Source organism: Homo sapiens, chromosome 16, assembly GCF_000001405.40.
Source record: "Homo sapiens chromosome 16, GRCh38.p14 Primary Assembly".
NCBI lineage: Eukaryota > Metazoa > Chordata > Mammalia > Primates > Hominidae > Homo > Homo sapiens.
This window is the reverse complement of record NC_000016.10, coordinates 65,032,873-65,053,126: the sequence shown is the minus strand read 5'-3', so window position 1 is coordinate 65,053,126 and position 20,254 is coordinate 65,032,873. Positions and strand designations below refer to the sequence as shown.

At 42.4% G+C, this 20,254-nt stretch overlaps 1 protein-coding gene across 4 annotated transcripts in view; it reads left to right on the top strand.

Moving 5' to 3' along the window:
• Positions 1-20,254, top strand: part of CDH11 (cadherin 11) — a 179,992-nt gene that overhangs the window by 70,618 nt on the left and 89,120 nt on the right. The window lies entirely within an intron of this gene.

The following is a 20,254-nucleotide window of genomic DNA, read 5'->3' as shown; positions in this document are numbered from 1 at the left end:
ATTAATTCTACCAGTGTGACTTTCCACTCTTGGGGAATCTAGACCTTCTTATCCAAGTGCCTACGGCTCGTCTCCATGTAGATGTCCAGTGGTGACTTAAATATGTACGTCAAATCCAGGTTTTTCCTGGGTCCCACATTCCTGTAATAGTATCAAAATTCACCCAGAATAGAAACATGGACGGAATACTTTAAGCCTCTCAACCCCTCACCTCCAATAGCAGTTAATTCCTCTTGATTCCTATTCATTCTATCATTTGGCTATCTCTGAAATAGTTTTGTTTCTCTCTATCCCTATTGCCACCGTTCAAATGCAAGTCAAATGTTTTTTCTCTAATATTACTGAAATTGTCACCTATTACGTATTTTTGCTTCCAGGGTTATTTCTCCCTTATCAGCTCCAACGTGATCCATTATCTATGTATATCCTGAACAATGTTCTTAAATCCGTACATATTGTACTTTCCCACTTATTTCCTTTCAATGATAGAGATAAGCTTTTCTTAACAAGCTTCTAGGATCCTTTAATGGGAAGGGCCACTGTTTTGCTGTCCAGATTCATCTCTCAGCTGGTATTCCCTCTCCACCCTGCCTGTATTATATACATCCACTCTAGGACCTCCTCATAAGGCACAGCCATTATTTCCCCCAAAGCCTCATAATCTCTCTCACCTCATAAGCACTCTTAAGGCATTTTATATCTTAGCTTGGACTTCACTATCTCTAAGGAGCTATTTCTAATAGCCTAAGATTACCTAGACAATGCTTTAGCAGCCAGGGATTACACCATTTACTGTGATTTCTACATTGGACTGTAATTGCCTTTTTAGTTGTCTGTCTTCCCAGCTAGACCTAGAGATTTTTGAGGACAGGACTTATTTGGGACCACTGTGCTCCCAGTTGCAAGTACTGTATCTGGGCCAAAGTATGCACTTAGTAAGTACTTACTAAGCAAATGAATAGGGACCCTCAGTATATTTTTAATTAAATGTGAGGAAGGTGGACTAAGGTGACTAACAGAGAAAAGTCATAATAACAGCAGCTAACAGGTTTTGCATGCTTACTATATGTCAGGTTCCTAAGGATGTTAAGTGTATCACTCCCCTTACTCCTTCCAAAAGCCTTATGTGGTAGGTATTATTAATATCCAACATTTTATAAATGAGAAAACTCAATCTTGGAGAATGTATTAGTCTGTTTTCACACTGCCATAAAGAACTTCCTGAGACTGGTAGTTTATAAATGAAAGTGGTTTAATTGACTCACAGTTCTGCATGGCTGGGGAAGCCTCAGGAAACTTAGAATCATGGTGGAAGGAGAGGTAAGCATCTTCTTCACAAGGTGGCAGAAGAGAGAAGAGAAGCATATGTTAAGGGAGGAGAGCCCCTTATAAAACTATCAGATCTTGTGAGAACTCACTCAGTATCACAAGAACAGCATGGAGGAAACTGCCCTCGTGATCCAATCACCTCCCTCCCTTCACACTTGGGGATTACAGGTTCCTCCTTCCACACATGGAAATTACAAATTGAGATGAGATTTGGGTGGACGCACAGATCCAAAGCATATCAGGGAAGATAAGTAACTTGTCTATGGCCATAGTGCTATAACTTTTATCCTTGGAATTTGTATTTATGGGAAGTCTAACTTTAGCTAGAGTTTGTGTCTTACCACTGTCCTTGTCTGCCTTTCTCCTGAATGAATCTCCCATATTATGGGCAAAAAACATTACCTCCACATAAGGCCAGGGGCTTTTCCTGCAGCCCACACAAGCTATTGTTAAATAGATGGTAGTCCCCTGTGACTGGGAACTATACATTTCTGATAATTTCTCAGGTGTTTTACACTCTTGTGTTAATGTGGGTCTGTTTTGGGAGGACATTTCAACGTGAGGAGTCCCCACCTCTTTCTCTCATTGTCTGGTCAATGTTTGTTAAGGGAATAAACCAATGATTGAAAACGCTTATCCTAGAAGCAAAATCGCACTCCCCTACAAACGCACCAGAATGATTTGGAAATTGTAGGACTGACTCCTCTTGCATTTGCTTATTTTGCACTCATTTGCTCCGAAGCCTGGCTCAGCAGAGGAAGTGCATCCCTCCTGTGGATATGTCTGTGAATGATGATCATCTCATTTCTGCTGAGCCAAATGGGGCTCTTCATTTCATCGGCCCTTTGAATTCCTCAATAAGATGTGCGAGTGACATTTCCTATTTTTCTAGATAATAGGGGCAATTAGAATGAGGTGTCAATGAATCAGAGTCAAAAGTTAAATAGAAAGTACTTGAATTTAATTTCATGTCTAGGAAATCTGGTAGTTTTTTTTTTTTTAACCTGGAAATTAAGAACAGTCTATTTTGAAGAGTTCTGCAAAGCTTTTATTCCAAGGAGAGGAAGGTAAATTACTCCAAGGCTGGTGGCATGAAACCTTTAAAAAACAAAACAAAACATAAAACAGCAGGAATGCAGATGGAACAATCCTTTGATTTTTCAGGTTAAGCTTCTTCTTGATGGAAAAGAATTCTGTGCCTGGTGGAGGAAAGGACTTGTTCTTGATCGCACTGTAAGGATTTTGAAGAACAAAACTAACCAATGACTTTAGCTGAGACTCAGATTCTTGATTCCCAAACAGGTCAAGATGCCAGACTTTCTTGAACAGGCACCTATGACATGCCACAAAGGCAGGCAGAGATGAAAGGGCACTTCCTCTTTCCTCAAGGAGTTTATGGTCAGGTAACTGCATATAGCAGTCAAAATCCAAGTGGGAAGGAAAGACGGAGAGAGGCTTTAAACAAATGTGGCATGGGCTCACAGGATCGGCACTCTAGTTAACTTACAGTGAAATCCACTGGAGCTTGAGCTTCCGTTTCTAGCACACATGTCTTACTTAGGAACAGAGGAGGAATTTTCTGGGCAGCTACAGGATAAGGCTTCTAAGCCCTGTGACCTTGCTGGGTTTTCAGTAGAGCACAGGGGCCTAGAAATGAACATCTTGGAGAAGTGGAAGAGATTTGCCCTTTGCTCAAGAGAAGTGTACACACATTGGCATCCTGCTGAGTAATAACCAGCAGGAATTGCTGGTCGCAGGTCACCCAGTTATCTTTCATTTGCATAGGAGTGAATCCCAGAAAGCTGCTTCTGGGGCAGCTCACCTGTGCTGCAGAACCCACCGGGCTCTGCATTGTCCCTGACAGCTTGAAGTGTTAGCAACCTGCTTCCTAACTCTCTGTGCTGCTGGGTCTGTCTGTGAATGTGTATTTCCTATTTTGGGATGTAGGCCACTGTGGAGAAGGAGGCCAAGTGTCTGTCTGTATCTGGTGTCATCAGAATCATAAACAGACACTCGGTTCACTTGTTGCCTACACATTGTAGCTCTTCAATGTGTACAATGTGACTGTCATCACCACAATCAACTAATGATTACATGAAGCCCTTATGTGGTAGGTCACCTGAACATCCAGTCCCTGTGCAAAATCATAACTAAAGGAAAAACCTGAACCAAAGTTGTGTTCTTTGATCTTGCTTTATTTAGCTAGTGATGGGCAAAGAGGTCAATGACATTGATATTTTCTGAGCATGCCCTTGTACCAGGTACTGTGATATGTGCTTTACATTTATTATCTTGTTTGACGTCACCAAGACTTTGGCTGCTATGCGCAGGGGTCATGATTCTTTCATAGATGAGGATACTGAGGTTTAGAGAAGTTAAAGAACTTGCTGAGGACCACCGATGAGCGATGGGTAGAGACAGGGTCTCCATTCCTAAGCACAGCACTGTAGTGCTTCCTATTGATAATGTCTCTTCCAATTCTTTTGTACCTTGACTTCCAGTCTTAACCAAGCTGGGATGGGAGGGAGTTGGAGGGCAATTATTATTACAGTTATTTTGGTATGGCAATGTCCTAAATCTCTACTTGAGTTTTTTTATTTTTTAATAATAGATTCAGGGGGTACATGTACATGCTTATTGTATGTGTATTTTGCATAATGGTGAGGTTTGGGCTTCTAGTACACCCATCACCAAAATAATGAACATTATACCCAATAAGTAGTTTTTCAACCCTCCTCCTCCCTTTTTGGAGTCCCCAGTGTCTATTATTGCCATCTTTATATCTATGTGTACCCATTGTTTAGTTCCCACTCATAACTGAGGATATGCAGTATTTGATTTTGTGTTTGTGAGTTTTTTCACTTAGGATAATAGCCTCCAGCTTCATCTATGTTGTTGCAAAAGATATGATTTCATTCTTTTTTTATGACTGTGTAATATTCTCTGTGGCTGTGTAGTATTTCGTGATATACCATACAGCCATAAAAAAGAACGTTGTGTGTGTGTATATATATATTCTACATACATATGTGTGTATAGAGATAATGTATGTGTGTATAGATACACATATATACACACATAAATATATATGTCTATATCTACATATACACACACATATATACATATGTATATATATGTAGATATAGACACGTATATATACACACACTACATTCTTTTTTATGTGTATATATGTATATGTGCACATATATACACATATATACCACATTTTACACACACATATATATGTATATACACACACACACACGCCACATTTTCTTTATCCTGTCATTTTTTGATGGGCACTGAGGTTGATTCCATGACTTTGCTATTGTGAATAGTGTTGTAATAGACACATGGGTGCAGGTTCCGTTTTGATATAATGATTTCTTTTCCCTTAGATAGGTACCCAGTAGTGGGATTGCTGGGCTGAAAGGTAGCCCTATTTTCAGTTCTTTGAGAAATCTCCACACTGTTTTCACGAAGGTTGTGTTAATTTGAATTCATACTAACAGTGTATACACATTCCTCTTTCTTCACATTCTGCTCTCCACTTGAGTTTTAAAGGAGACATAGTGGGTTCTGGCTAATGCAGCGAGGTGACTGAATGTATCCAGTGAGTGAGGGGCAAAAATGGCAAGAGGAGAAAAGACTCTGGATGTGTTTACTCATCAGTCATCTTGAGAACCATCCCTATGTTAGGCTTTGGACTAGGTGCTGGGGATACAATAATAAATCATGTGTATCAATACAACAATGGAACCGTACTGTTGCTTCCAAAGAACCCCTCTTCTTGTGATGGAGCCAGGCTGGCAAACAAATAACCATGGTACAGAGTTCCTTTTAGACAGCTCCATGGATCTGTGAGAACATAGAGGGGCTGACTTCTGCTGGAGGAAATCAGGCGGAGCTTCAGTGAGGAGGTGACCTCTGGGTTTAGACTTGATCATGAGTAGGGATTTATCAGGAGAAACCGGGAAGGATTTTCCAGGCAAAGGGAACAGTACAGAAGTTGTTAAGTCAGTATTTGTCATTACTAGGTGGGATGTCCCATGAAATATTTGTTTTTATTTTTATGTATCCTTAGATAGATACATTTAAACAGTTAAGATGGTTAAAATAGATAAAGACGGTTAAAATTTAAAAGGTGAGACCTGGCATGGTGGCTCATGCCTGTAATCCCAGCCCTTAGGGAGGCCAAGGTGGGCAGATCACAAGGTCAAGAGATCGAGACCATCCTGGCCAACATGGTGAAATCCCGTCTCTACTAAAAATACAAAAATCAGCTGAGCATGGTGGTGCGTGCCTGTAGTCCCAGCTGCTCGGGAGGCTGAGGCAGGAGAATCACTTGAACCCAGCAGGCGGAGGTTGCAGTGAGCTGAGACTGCACCAACTGCACTCCAACCTGGTGACAGAGCAAGACTCCATCTAAAAAAAAAAACCAAAAACAAACAAAAAAAATTAAAAGGTGAAAAAGAGTCTACAGAGAATTAAGTCTTCTTCAATTCCTATACTCTAGGCGTTCAATCTCATTCCCTGGAAGCCACTATTGTCAGTTTTCTGTGTGACTTCCAGACAGTTTCTGGGCAGTTGCAAACACACACATCCATATAGCTACTTCCTCCACATTTGTATACATAGATCACATCCAGCTGTAAACCCTGTTTTACACCTTGATTTATTTTTTGAGGCAGAGTCTCACTTTGTCACCCAGGTTGGAGGGCAGTGGTGCAGTCTTGGCTCACTGCAACTTCTGTCTCCGAGGTTCAAGCGATTTTCATGCCTCAGCCTCAGTCCCAGAGTAACTGGGACTACAGGCATATGCCACCACGGCTGGCTAATTTTCTGTATTTTTAGTAAAGATGGGGTTTTGCTACATCGGCCAGGCTGGTCTCGAGCTCCTGGCCTCAAGTGATCTGCCCGCCTCGGCCTCCCAAAGTGCTGGAATTACAAGCCTGAGTCACCGCGCCCAGCCACCTTAATTTTAAAAGGAAAAATGTATTAAGTTTTTCCCTTTGTTTTGCTTGTATTCATTTGATTTAAAACTTTTTTAAGTTTTAAAACTATCCAAACCTACAGAAAAGTTGCCCAAATAACACAATAAATTCTTATGAACACTTCATCAGGAGACACTGAATTTTAAAAAATCATTTTGCCATGTTCTATGCAACAATTTTATGAATTTAATCCCTAATCAAGGTACAGCTTGGATGTCAGTTACCTGGAGACCAGAGTGCAGTTCCTCTCCCCAGCATTGATTTACTGAGATAACATAAGATGTTCTCGAAATCAATAATGTGTTCCTCTCATTGTCAGTTTCCCTGAGATGCCCATAAGCAGCAAATCCACCCCCAGGATGGGGATCCATCCCTAGGATGGAGATGGCTGGAGGTGCCCCTCTTTGGGCCACTTGATCTTTGGGAAAGGATTTTCTCTGCCTCCTCAAGTGCTCAGCAAGCGCTTCTTGGGCAGGTGAGCATGCTCTCCACACTTGCCTTCCGGGCCCTGTGGTCCAGGGTGGTAACAGGCAATCCAACTGAAATCTAATCACTTCATTTCCGACAACCAGCCATATAGACAGCATTATCTCTTCTGTTCAGCTTGTCAGAGTCAACACGGCATCTCAAAGGCTGGTATAGGATTCTCTCCTTTGAAAGATCAAAGCGCCTGAGCATTGCTCAGGTTACCTGTGCATTTCCTCCCTGCGTTACATGGAAAGGGATAGTTTGTACTCAAAGTGAGAGGGACTTCGAACAGCATGACAAGCAGGAAGTAACTTAGTAAGGCAGTGTCTTATGATTTTGTAGTCATGTGCTCTGGGCCTAAGAGGATTGTTTTCTGGTATTCATTCATTCACTAACTCATCAAATAATTCCTGAAAGCCTCCTTGGTACTATTTTATGCTCTGGGCCAAGACATGTGCATGCTCCTTGCAGACTGGGTCCCTAGGATCTACTGGGTGACAGACAAATAAGACAGTCTCAGCCAAAGAAAGTAGCTGAACCTGAGAGGGGTGGAGTGGAATCTCCAAGGAATTACTTCTTGGCCATTCATTAATTCATTCATGCATTAAACACGTATTTACTGACTCCGCCTGTACTCTCTGTCCCTACGTGATTCTTGAGCCACAGAATTAACATTTCCTTTCCTGGCTACTAACCCAAATTATCCTTTGTGCAGTGGGGGACTCAGAGCTCAAGGCAATTAGATAAATCAGGGAAGTAAAGGGAACGAGCTATACTAAAATCTGCCACCAATTAATTGTGTCTGCTGAGGATCTAGAAGACTGTAGCCAGACACCTGACAGATGCCACCATTTGGAAGCTTTAGAAAATTTGTGGCAGGGCTAGTGAGTTTATCTTTTCTAGGGGCTCTTTTACAGTTTAAGCACCATTCCAAAAGCTGTTAGGCTGCCATAGCAACAGTTCATATATATATATATATATATATATATATATATATATATATATACTTTTGAGGGAAACAAATTTTTAAAAACTTGGTCACATTCTTGCAAGGGCTTGTGAGAAGATACCTCTTTAAATGAATGTCTAGCAAGTTTCCTGAAGTATCATATTTCTGTCTATAACATACTATTTTGGACCTCTTAACACTCCCAAACACTTTTCAGAATTTCTGCTTGAAAGATGGACCTAGGGGGATGGTGATTCATTGCCCCAAACCATTTACATCATTCTTTGGGAAAGGAAAGCAAAAGCCTTTGTGTGGTTTTATCTTGCTAGTGGTTTCAGCCGGAGCACACGTCCCTGCCGTGCCAGCCCCCACACAGTGTGGGATGGAACCGGTGCCCACACAAGCCCCCACCAGGGAGGCTGGAGCTCAGGCTCATGAAAGCATGTCCAGCTCTATTCTCTCTTCCCCAGTCCTTCTCCACTGAGCCGCAGCATTATTTCTCTAAATCCAAATTGTATCAAGTTGCTTCAGTATAAAACCCAAGCTTCAGAAGCTTGCAGTCCCTCTCAGGATAAATTGCTAAGTCCTTTGCCTGGATTCTAAGACTGATTTGATCCAGGCCCAACTCCCAGAAGCCTCCCTTCCCCTCCCTCCCATTTAACTCTGTCCATATTGTGCTGCTGGTAGCCCCTGAATGCATTGTGATGCTTGACACCTCAATTCCCTTGCACACATTTTTCTTCTCTTCCCCCATTTGTCCGAGTGAGCAGAGAAGCATCTTCTCCTCCAGCAGGGGCTCCTAGACCCTGTGAGATAGTTTGTCCCTTTTTCCTTCTGTATAGAGAGTGCCTTGATTCCTCAGTGTCTATCACTTCCACGGGTCCTGGGTACATGTATCTTCATGAGCCCCCTTTTCCATTAAAAAAAAATTACAGTTTATGACCATTTTGGTTTAAAGAGGAATATAGTGTTCTACCCTAAAAGGTCATTTTTTTCTTCTGATTTTAAAAGAAAATAAAACATTTCTGTGCATCCTCTAAATGTGTTGTGGGCACTGTGCCTACTGTTCCTAATGGAGAAGTCACACTGATGTTGCTGGGTTACCACATCGCCAATTAGTTGTCTTCAAGTTTGTTAAATCCTTGAGAATAGAGTTTGGCTGTGTAATACCATGCCATCTATTGGAGTGTGTGGAATGCATACTCATGTGTGGTGAACAGGCTTTCGCAGGAATAAGAGCATGGTCTCCATTCACCTGCCTTCTGCTGCTGAGAGCTTTGGCAGGCACTCCCTCTTAGGCTAATGCTGCTCATCCATTTTCAAAAGGGACAAGATCCTCTCCTCCCTTTTTCTGCACAGCACTTTAAACTGCAGAGACCTTCCTTGTGCATTATCCACTTTGATCTCTTGAGATCAACATTAGCTGCCCCATTCCATAGAAGAATAAAACGAGGCCCAAAGAGGTGAAGCAGAGCCTAGAAAACAGAGTTGTCCCCTGCCCAGAGTCACACGTAATATGTGGCAGAGCCAGGATTCTACTCCTCCCCTCCCCCCAAGACCAATGCCAATGTTCTATCAAACCACAGGACAAGAAACCTAAATTAAGGCAGAGATCGCTTCATTCCTTTTAACTTTTTTGGAAGCATCAAGAACAGTAAGAAACAGGAAATCCCAACATGGGTAGAATTGCTTCTGCACTGAACACTGCAATGCACCACCCAGTTCCCCAGTTCACTGAAGATCTGGTGGTCTCAGCTACTGGGAATGCTCTTGGCAGGTGACTTCACTTGCAGCTTTCACCTCAGCCAAAGTCATGCTCTTTTCCAGGGCAGCTCACATTGGAGGGCTGATCAGTAAAAGTCTGGCCATCTCAGCTTTCTTGGGATTATTTTGAAGGATGATCTTTAGCCCAGATGACCATGCAGGGTGGTCTGAGGCTGTTGCTGGGCTGCATCACACATCTTCTCTTTATGTTTGTTTCTGATTCCCCTTCCTTTTCTTCTCCAGGTGTTATTCCAAAGGGTACCCCCTAGTAAACATCCCCATGCTAAACTCCATCTCAGAGTCAGCGTCCCAGATAATCCAACCTGTGACAAACTCTATTAAATATTTTGCAACAAGCCTTCCTATGTCTGTGCATGAATACACAAGATTCATTTGTTCCTCCATTGTTTTCACTGAATGCTTATTCATGGGATGCTAAACACTGTACTAGGTACCAAGATACTGTGGTGAACAAGACAGAAAAGGACCTCTGGTTACAAGGAACTTAAATTACTTCTACTCTGAAGGCAGATATTAATCCTGTTTCTGCACTAAAATTATGCAACTTTCAGAGCATTCTGGTCACCTCAGCATTTACATGGAGTAGCAAGAGAAGCCTCCCATCACCAGAGCCCTGCTGATTGCTTTGCAGAGTAAACACTGCTTCCAGGAAATCAGTAGCAGTGTCTGAAAGGTTTTCCCACCCTGTTAGAGAAGGACCCAGAGTGAAGTTGGGGCTACAAGGAACTTAGGATAGGCAGGAGAACAGGGGCTGGAATGTCTGTCCACAATAGATTTGGAGAGGGAGGATTCAGGTGCAGATGAAAAAGCCAGTGGAAATCACTGTCAGGATCAGAAGTTGAATGAAAAATACCAGATGGAGGGAAGACAGGTCAAGATTTAATTTGTAGCAGGATGGAATAAGGTCCAAGGGAGGAGTGAAGTGGGGGTTTTCTTGCAATTCTCTACGGTCCTTATTTTAAACTATTTATTGACGTCCTGTTTTAACTGGAATAAAATCCAGATGCAAATTTTGCTGCCAATGCTCTCCTTGAGACAGTCATTCCCTACCTCTCTCTTTGCGCATCTGCTCAGCTGCATTTGACAATTGCTGCCCCTTGAGCAGACCCAGCCCTTTCTAACCCCAGGGACTTTGCATTTTCTATTCTCTCAGTCTTGGAAGTCTCCTCACACACCTTTCAGGATTCAGCTGAAATGCTCCCTTTTGAGAGGCCTTTCCTGACTTCACAACCTCTGAAGCCATATCCTCCACCCACCCTGTAGTCATTGGACACTTCCTCATTGTGTCTAATTCTTCACAGCAGCAATCACAATTAGCAAATACCATGTCTATTTCATTTCATGGCTGATTTTTATATTGTCTGTTTTCCCCATGGGATTCTAAGCCCTGTGAAGTTTAGAGACTTGTTCAGCCATGCCCACCCCTACGTCCTGGATGTCAAGGGCAGCGCCATCCATACTAGTAGCACTCTAAATATTTCTTGAATTAATGACTAAACCAATGTGACTACACCAATAGCCAATTATTAAGCATTTGCCTAATGAGTTGACAGGAATATGATGGTTGGTATGTTTGGGGCAGAAGCCTGGAGCCTGGGCTCCTCCACACTGCTGGGATGAGCAGAATCTTCAGACATCTCTCTCTCTCTCTCTGAGTTCCTCCTGGACCATTACTCAGATTTGAGGGGCATCATTGCCTGGAGCACTCCACTCTGGGGAAGCCAACAGCTGCATAATGGTTTCCCTGCCCGTGCATTAGCATGGGCCTTTTGGGCCTGCTCCGGCTTGCCTGACCCATCTCCCAGCAGGAAAGTCTGTGCATCTGTAATACTCTGGAAAATTGGGGCTGACATGTAGTTCAGTACCCAAAGTGGTTTCACTCAAGCAAACGCGGAGAATAAAAGCCATGCGCTTAAAATGCTTGAGTAGGTATCAATCAGAAGAACATTCCAATAATCCATGTTTATGAAGCCTGTTAGTATGAATTTTTGAAATAGCACTTAATCCACTTTATTCTTGACAAATGGTGTTTGTAGCCATTGAGATATTTTATTTCAATTATGTGCGGATGTTGTAGGGAAAAGGTTTCTGACAGTATCAAGGCATAAGACATTTTTTATTGTGCTTTTATCACTATTCCCATTGCTACACTCGACTGGACAGTTCATTAAGATGAAAAATTAACAGCACATACTATGGAGAGAATAATCATGGAACATGATTATTCTTCACAGCTTGTGGAAGCACCAGAATTCAGAGTAGCAGACAGATGACAAATGTGCTGGTCTTTGGAAGAGGTGGCGATTGGTCAATCAGTTGGTACCCATGTGTGCACCTACTTGTGTGTTCAGCTCTGAGCTGAGGTGCTGGAGGAGAAAGAAAATACGGAAAACATGGTTGTTGCTTTCCAAGAACATACTGTCTATTTGGGAAGGCCAGGAAGATGTCAGGTGTCAATCCAGGAACTCCAAAGTGTTACACAATTGCCCAGCACTTTGGCGCTGGCTGTAAGTTCAGGAGAAAGTTCACTGTGGACTTTAGAGAAGAGTTCTTAGACCTTGAAGAATACCAGGATGTTGGTTAGTAAAATATGTTCTAAAAATAGTAGCTACTGATGGCTATGAGGTTGCTTCTGGGGAGTAATGAAAGTGTTCTGAAATTAGATATTGGTGATATGTGCACAACTTTACAACATACCAGCAAACACTGTACCCTTTAAAAGGCTTATTACATTTTCTATGCATGCAACAAAACATCATATGTGGCCAATAAATATATAACATATTACATGTCAATAAAAAGCATGGTCTTTATGATACATGAATTATATATTAGTAAGCCATTATTTTCAAGCACTCTACAAACTCAATGCTGCTAAATTACAGTAATTTTTTTATTATACTTTACGTTTTAGGGTACATGTGCACAACGTGCAGGTTTGTTACATATGTATACATGTGCCATGTTGGTGTGCTGCACCCATTAACTCATCATTTAACATTAGGTATATCTCCTAATGCCATCCCTCCCTCCTCCCCCCACCCCACAACATGCCCCAGGGTGTGATGTTCCCCTTCCTGTGTCCATGTGTTCTCATTGTTCAATTCCCACCTATGACTGAGAACACGCGGTGTTTGGTTTTTTTGTCCTTGCGATAGTTTGCTGAGAATGATGGTTTCCAGTTTCATCCACGTCGCTACAAAGGAAATGAACTCATCATTTTTTATGGCTGCATAGTATTCCATGGTGTATATGTGTCACATTTTCTTAATCCCGTCTATCATTGTTGGACATTTGGGTTGGTTCCAAGTCTTTGCTATTGTGAATAGTGCCACAATAAACATACATGTGCATGTGTCTTTATAGAAGCATGTTTTATAATCCTTTGGGTATATACCCAGTAATGGGATGGCTGGGTTAAATGGTATTTCTAGTTCTAGATCCCTGAGAAATTGCCCCACTGACTTCAACAATGGTTGAACTAGTTTACAGTCCCACCAACAGTGTAAAAGTGTTCCTATTTCTCCACATCCTCTCCAGCACCTGTTTCCTGACTTTTTAATGATCGCCATTCTAACTGGTATGAGATGGTATCTCATTGTGGTTTTGATTTGCATTTCTCTGATGGCCAGTGATGATGAGAACTTTTTCACGTCTTTTGGCTGCATAAATGTCTTCTTTTGAGAAGTGTCTGTTCATATCCTTCGCCCACTTTTTGATGGGGTTGTTTGTTTTTTCTTGTAAATCTGTCTGAGTTCATTGTAGATTCTGGATATTAGCCCTTTGTCAGATGAGTAGACTGCAAAAATTTTCGCCCATTCTGTAGGTTGCCTGTTCACTCTGATGGTAGTTTCTTTTGCTGTGCAGAAGCTCTTTAGTTTAATTAGATCCCATTTGTCAATTTTGGCTTTTGTTGCCATTGCTTTTGGTGTTTTAGACATGAAGTCTTTACCCATGCCTATGTCCTGAATGGTATTGCCTAGGTTTTCTTCTAGGGTTTTTATGGTTTTAGGTCTAATATTTAAGTCTTTAATTCATTTGAATTAATTTCTGTAGAAGGTGTAAGGAAGGGATCCACTTTCAGCTTTCTACATATGGCTAGCCAGTTTTCCCAGCACCATTTATTAAATAGGGAATCCTTCCCCCATTTCTTGTTTTTGTCAGGTTTGTCAAAGATCAGATAGTTGTAGATATGCAGCATTATTTCTGAGGGCTCTGTTCTGTTCCATTGGTCTATATCTCTGTTTTGATACCAGTACCATGCTGTTTTGGTTACTGTAGCCTTGTAGTATAGTTTGAAGTCAGGTAGCGTGATACCTCAAGCTTTGTTCTTTTGGCTTAGGATTGAAGTAATTTTATTACAGGTGAGAAAATTAATTCATTAGAATAGACACATCGATGAGGCAGACTAACATTAATTGAGGACTTGCTTCATATGGCAAGGAAGGAGGCAAGTGCGCATTCTACAGAGGCGAAAACCAAGAGTTAAATCAGTTCATGCTTTGCCTAAGAAGCCACAGAGGTGGGAAATAATGGGGCTGGACTTCATCTCTTTCACATCCAGATGCTTCCCACCCCATTCTTCTGGTGCCCAAAAAAGACAGATCCTAAGATGTTGTAAGAATATGAGTGGCAACAATGATAAAGTGATGTGTCTCTGCAGAGAGTTTTAAAGTTAAATGTCCTCACTTCTTTTCTCTCACCTGTTCTTAGAGCATCCCTGTGAAATAGGATCAGAGGCAGGTGTGCGGTAGGAAACAAGGGAATGGAGCGAAAGGAGACCAAGTCTGCTTTTACAGACTGCATAAAGAATGCTGTATTTGTTTCCCAAGTGTCCAAGGTGTTTTGTTTCCCAAGTGTCCAAGGTGTTTTCTCTGTGCCTTCATCTCTATTTTGGGCTCCTTCTCTACCTAGACTTTGATATGCATCCTATTTCCCCAAGGCAAGAGGAATTTCCGAGTGAAACGATAGAGATGTGGGATCCACGGATATTTAGAAGCAAGGCTTAGAATTAGATGTCCTGTCTGTTAAATATAGAAGTAAGTGCTGTTTCTTTTCTCCTTTGTGGAAGGAGTAGATACACATTTCTATTGTAAGTTGCATGTTTAGATTAAAGACACTTAAATCATTATCTCCCCTGCGGAGATAATGAGAGAGCTTTTGATGTCATTCTCAGCTTACTGGTGTAAATAATGGGTCAAATTCTCATCCTGTTGTACAGGATGGAAATCCGACTCAGGATTTGTAAATACTGCTGCATTTGATTTATTTTCACGAGACATTTTCTTCCCTAGCAGACAGTGGGATAGCAGCGTCCCGCGAAACAGCCCGTGGAGGAGTCATGATGCATTAACCTAAGCAGTGAGATCAAAACAAAAGCTCTGCTTGTAATCCCCCTGCCAGAGCCCCAATCTCAGCAGTCCCCACTGTGTGACTGCATTCGGGAAGCCTAGATAAAATTAGATCTTCCCGGAGTAAAAAGGAACTGGGACTTAGGAAATGGAAGTCTTTCTCAAGCAGCAGATGTCTTCTTTCCTCATTTCTTTGGAGTTTTGTTAGCGTTAAAGAAATTAAAAGAACAATTCTTTTTTTATTAAAAAAGAAAAAAAAAGAATGAACACTTCTTGAAATACATCCCTGCCAGTTTTGGAGTGCATTTGCTTTCTCCCCTCATCAGAGGGGTTGGATTCAGCCTGACTCAGGAGTGGGGATGCCTGGCTTCTCATCTTTTATCTACCTCCTACTGGGCAAGTGACTGCTCTGTGTTTCTCTTTGCTTCTTTGTCACAAGTGGTTGGTGACTTCCAGATCCCTCCCTAGCCCCAGGCTCCTCTTGGGTTTCTTCTCTCAGGTCTTGGCACTCTCGTCTTCTCGGGGAAGTGGAACAGCCTGAGTCCCTGTTGCTGGGATGCGGACGGTCCCAAGGGCCAAGTAAACAGTTCAGAAGCAGGTGTCTTTGATGGGGGTTACTCTAGCAGGGTTGTTAGGGGAGAGAGGAGGGTGGTTATTACAATCATCCAATAATCAGTGTCTACACCAGAAGGATTTTTGTGTTGATAGAGGAATGTTTTAATTCTAATGCACTTAAACCAATGACTGTCACAAAGGAAGGCTCCCTAAACAGGAGTCGGGGTGATGGGGATGGCAAGGTGCAAGTCTACACAGTTCCAAATATCCAGGTGTTTCCAAACTTGGGGCTGTGTAGACAGAGGTTCACAGTGACTGATGGAGTCCAGGTCACAGCTAGAATTTTACAACATGTGCTGGAGTGCCATCTTCCTAACACTCTGTCCTCTGCAATGAGGAAATCGGGGTGGTGGGGAATTTTGTCTCCAGTTCTCAGTGCAAAAACAGAGGCTGAAAGTCTGAATGATTTTCTTGATGCCACACAGCTGGTAAGTGGCATCAGAAGATGGAAATTGAACTGAAACTTCAAATCCAAGGTTAGCTTCTTAGATCTCTCAGGGAGCTCTTCCTCTGCCTGAGCTATCGGGTTTTCCCTTCATGTGATGTTGCCCAGAGCAGGCTGCAGTGATGTGGTGTGGTCTGCCCCCTTGAATGTCTCCTCTCTCTCACTGAATGACAGAAACCTTAGGCTAGAGTATATGTTTAGTTTCAGTGTTCCCTTTCTCATCGAAAGTTCTTGCATGAAACATCTCCATCTGCCCTGCCATCTTCTTTCTGCCTTTTGTCTTCTCATCTCAAAATTTCTTATTTTCTGAGTTATTTCAGGCAGAGAGTCAAGTGGCAGATGTTTGCAAACAGTATGGGACCCAAGTATCCAAATGATTTCTTGCCTTCAAAGTGTATCTTCCATTGGGAGCTGGACTCTAATTACCTATGATACCACCTTGGCTAATAATATCTCTGGAACTCTTTTGAGGGGGGTCTGCATTTTGGATCATTTTAGAAATGGCAATAGGTCTGTCTTAGTAGAACATATGACGTTTCCAAAACGACATCCTGCAGGCAGGATGGCTGCAGAATGGAAGAAGAACAGGCCCCTTTACATGGGTTGTGGTAAGCAGTGATTTATGACCCTAATAGGGTAGTTGGGTCTGCATTTCTTTTGTGACTTCAAAGCTGTCTCCATCAGGACATTTTAATGCCTGAGTTCTGGCATTTTCACAAAGTCAATCTCTTTATTTGCAAACTACAGTCTCTGTGGAAGAGGAACATGGCAGGCACCTTCCTATTAATATAAGCAGGTAGAGTACCAGATCCATTGCCTCTAGAGTCCCAAGCAGAATAAAGCCAAGCCTTTGAATAAAGCCATAGGGAGAGTCAAGAGGCTCTGGGGTAAAGCAGGAAATAAAAATGAAGATAGTTGAAGAGGCTACACTAATCATGCAGTCCACCTTAAAGTCAAATTGTTAAAATGAAACCTCTAAGATCATCACAGTAGTCATATGACCTTGAGTGAGCTATTTAGCCTCTTAGAGCTTCAATTTCTTCACCTATAAGATGGCAATAACATAATTAAAAACACACAGGGCTGTGTGCAAATTAATAAAAGAAAGTATGTAGAGTGCTTAGCATAGTGTTCAGCATGAAATAAGCCCCTGCTAATTATAAGCCACTATCCTCATCAGCTGCTGTTAGTGAGCTGTGACCACCTGGACAAGAAGCCCTGAGCAGACAGAAAGCCAAATTGGGGCTGACTTTGGACCTGTCCACTCTCACGTGGAAACTATATTTTTCCTGAGGGAACAGATTTTCTTTCTTGAGGCAGGGTTTTCCAGCCTCAGTCCAACTCTCAGATAGCAGCCTTCATCTTCACTCGGATCTCTGAATACTAAAGACTAGGTATGACTTAATGCTTTCATTCTTCATCAATAAAACAAGGATAATAATAACCCTTACCTTTGTTGGCTGATGTGTAAAATGAGCTAATGTTCATGAAAGCCCTTTGTAAATTATAAAGTGCTATAAAGTATGAATTATTATTGTGATTGCTCTACTCCAGGTATTCCATAAACATTGTGGGAAATTAAGAACGCACACTCCTGGCATTCAAAAAGCATTTATGCCTTTTTAAGTATATAGCTATAAACTATCAGCAGATGGGTTTGATAATGCAGTCTTCAATCAGATTTAAATGTTAGCAAGCGCCCATTAAGAGTGACTTTCTAGCAGGGGCACTGCTGTGGGTGCCAGCAGGCAGCCAGTCACAATGGTTGGCTGTGACAGGCTATACTTCCACTGCGCTTGAATACCAGCTGCTCATGTGCTTTGCAACTTACTTTGAGCTGAATTACCAAAGGTCTTCTGAACCTCACTTCGCTCATTTGTAAGATAAAGGTAATAATACCTACCTGACTGAGTTGCTGTGAAGAGTAGATAAGATAATGATCACCAAGCCCTGGGCACACTCCCTGATGCAAGGGATTAGGAAGCCACCTCAGTGTGGCACCCTGGATGCTCCGATTGACAGGTGTTCCTTCTTTTGCCTTGAGCCTCTCACTGAAACAAGTCAGGGTTCCTCCTCTCGCTGGGTTCCCAGCAGCCTTGCAACGTCACTGCCCGTGCAGCTCCCCAGCCCCGCCTCCCAGCACCTCATGAGCCCTGCTGACCTTCAGGCCTCTCGGGTCAGTTCCAACATAACTAGGTCTTTGCAGATTTCAAAGCCTCCTCTTGATAACTCGAGGGTCGAGGGGGACTTGAGGAAATGAGGAGATGGGATGGAGCAGAAGGCTATTTGTGAAAGCCAGTGTGAACAGCCTGAATTCCTGGCCATGTCCCTCAGAGGCTGAGGGGCCTATCTGGACCCCAAGGACCCTATATTACCAGCCAATTCCACGTAGGCAGTCCAGATACAGCCACGTGCACCCTGTTATGGTGACTAACCAGAGGAATGTAAAAGTGTTTCCAATGCCATTAAGCTTTAGGGTGCGGGGCTCTAATTCTGGGACTCTAATGCTAATAGTATTTTTTGAGCATTTACTACATGCTATACATAGTGTTCGGCACTTCAACAAGAATTATCTGATTTAATCCTTCCAACAACCTAAGGAGAAGTGTACTCTACTATTACCCACAGTTTTGAAATGAGACCACAAGATTAGGAAGGGCAGAGGTCGGCTTTGAACCTAGTACTCATGGCTGCAGCATTACTTCTCAGGGTACATGTGGCCTGTGGCCAGGATAACAGGGGTGGCTGGCATCCTGGCAGTGGGTTGTTCTTCCATCTATCTTAGTCCACTCTATCCGTATTAGTTTTCAGGGGTTTCCATTGAAACAAAGTTCCACAAATTGATGGCTTAAGCAGCAGGCATTTATTGTCTTACAATTCTGGAGGCTACAATTTCAAAATCAAGGTGTTGGCAGAGTTGGTTCTTTTTGAGTGTTCTGAGGGACAATCTGTTTCATGCCTTCCTCCTAGCTTCTGGTAACTCAGGCATTCCTTGGCCTCCTCCTTTTGTCTACATTTCCTCTTTTTGTAGATATCAGCCACGTAGAATTAGGGCCCATTCAAATGACTGCATCTTAACTTGGCCATCTGCACAGACCCTAATTCCAAATAATGTCAGATTTACTGAAACTAGCGGTTAGGGCTTCAACATCTTTTTGGGAGACACAATTTAACCCGTAATACTGTTCCATAATACTGCCCATAAACACATTTCTAGGATTTACCCATTTCCTTGAAGGCATCCAAGTGTAAGTGTCTTTCTCACACAAGTATTCTTTGAATACTGCTTAAGTGCTTCATACCATGCCGCCACCTGGAGATAAGAAAATGAGCAAAACACCTATGATCCCCATCTTCATGCATTAATGACATACTCTTGGAGGATTTCAAGTCCATAGACCCTCACAGTACTGGTGCTAAACTATTTTATTTTATTTTATTTTATTTTATTTTAGAGATGGAGTCTCACTCTGTTGCCCAGGCTGGAGTGCTGTGGCATGATCTGGGCTCACTGCAACCTCCACCTCCCGGTTTCAAGCGGTTCTCCTGCCTCAGCCTCCCGAGTAGCTGGGACTACAGGCACACAACACCATGCCTGGCTAATTCTTGTATTTTTAGTAGAGATGGGGTTTTTCCATATTGGCCAGGATGGCCTGTCTCCTGACCTCGTGATCCACCCGTCTCAGCCTCCCAAAGTGCTGGGATTACAGGCTTGAGCCACCGCACCCGACCACTGGTGCTAAATTTTTATCATTAATTTTAAATGGCTCATCTAAGGGGGAAAATGAATGTAGCTTCATCATTCTGAATAAATCTAAAGAGAGAATAACCAGGAGATGAGTATTAATATTTGATTAACTTTATTTGCATATGCACAACTCCATTTGCAAACTGGCTTGTGATTTCTCAAAATCTGTATGTGTGTGTGTGTGTGTGTGTGTGTGTGTGTGTGTTTTCCTAGTTTACTTGTGGGGTGTCATCGCAGGCCTTCTAGACCAAGCCCTGCAAGCAGGATGATGTTAACCAGGGTGTATCACTTATTAGATGGAAGAACGATTACCCTGTGCTCTGTTTAATTAAGCTTCACGTAATGGGCAGACGTTTCCTTTAACAGGCTTGCTGTCACCTCATCAGTTATTTAAGGTAGTTCATTTCACAGCAGGGGGCAAAAAGAGAGAAAGGAAAAATTTATCATTTGCTCAAACTTGATTGGTCTGAGGAAAAGCGTGGCTGTCTAGAAGATGCCTAATTGCTGCTGTGATCCTGTACTGATTCTCTATTTTGTCCCAGGCTTCTTATTGAAACGTTAATCAGGATT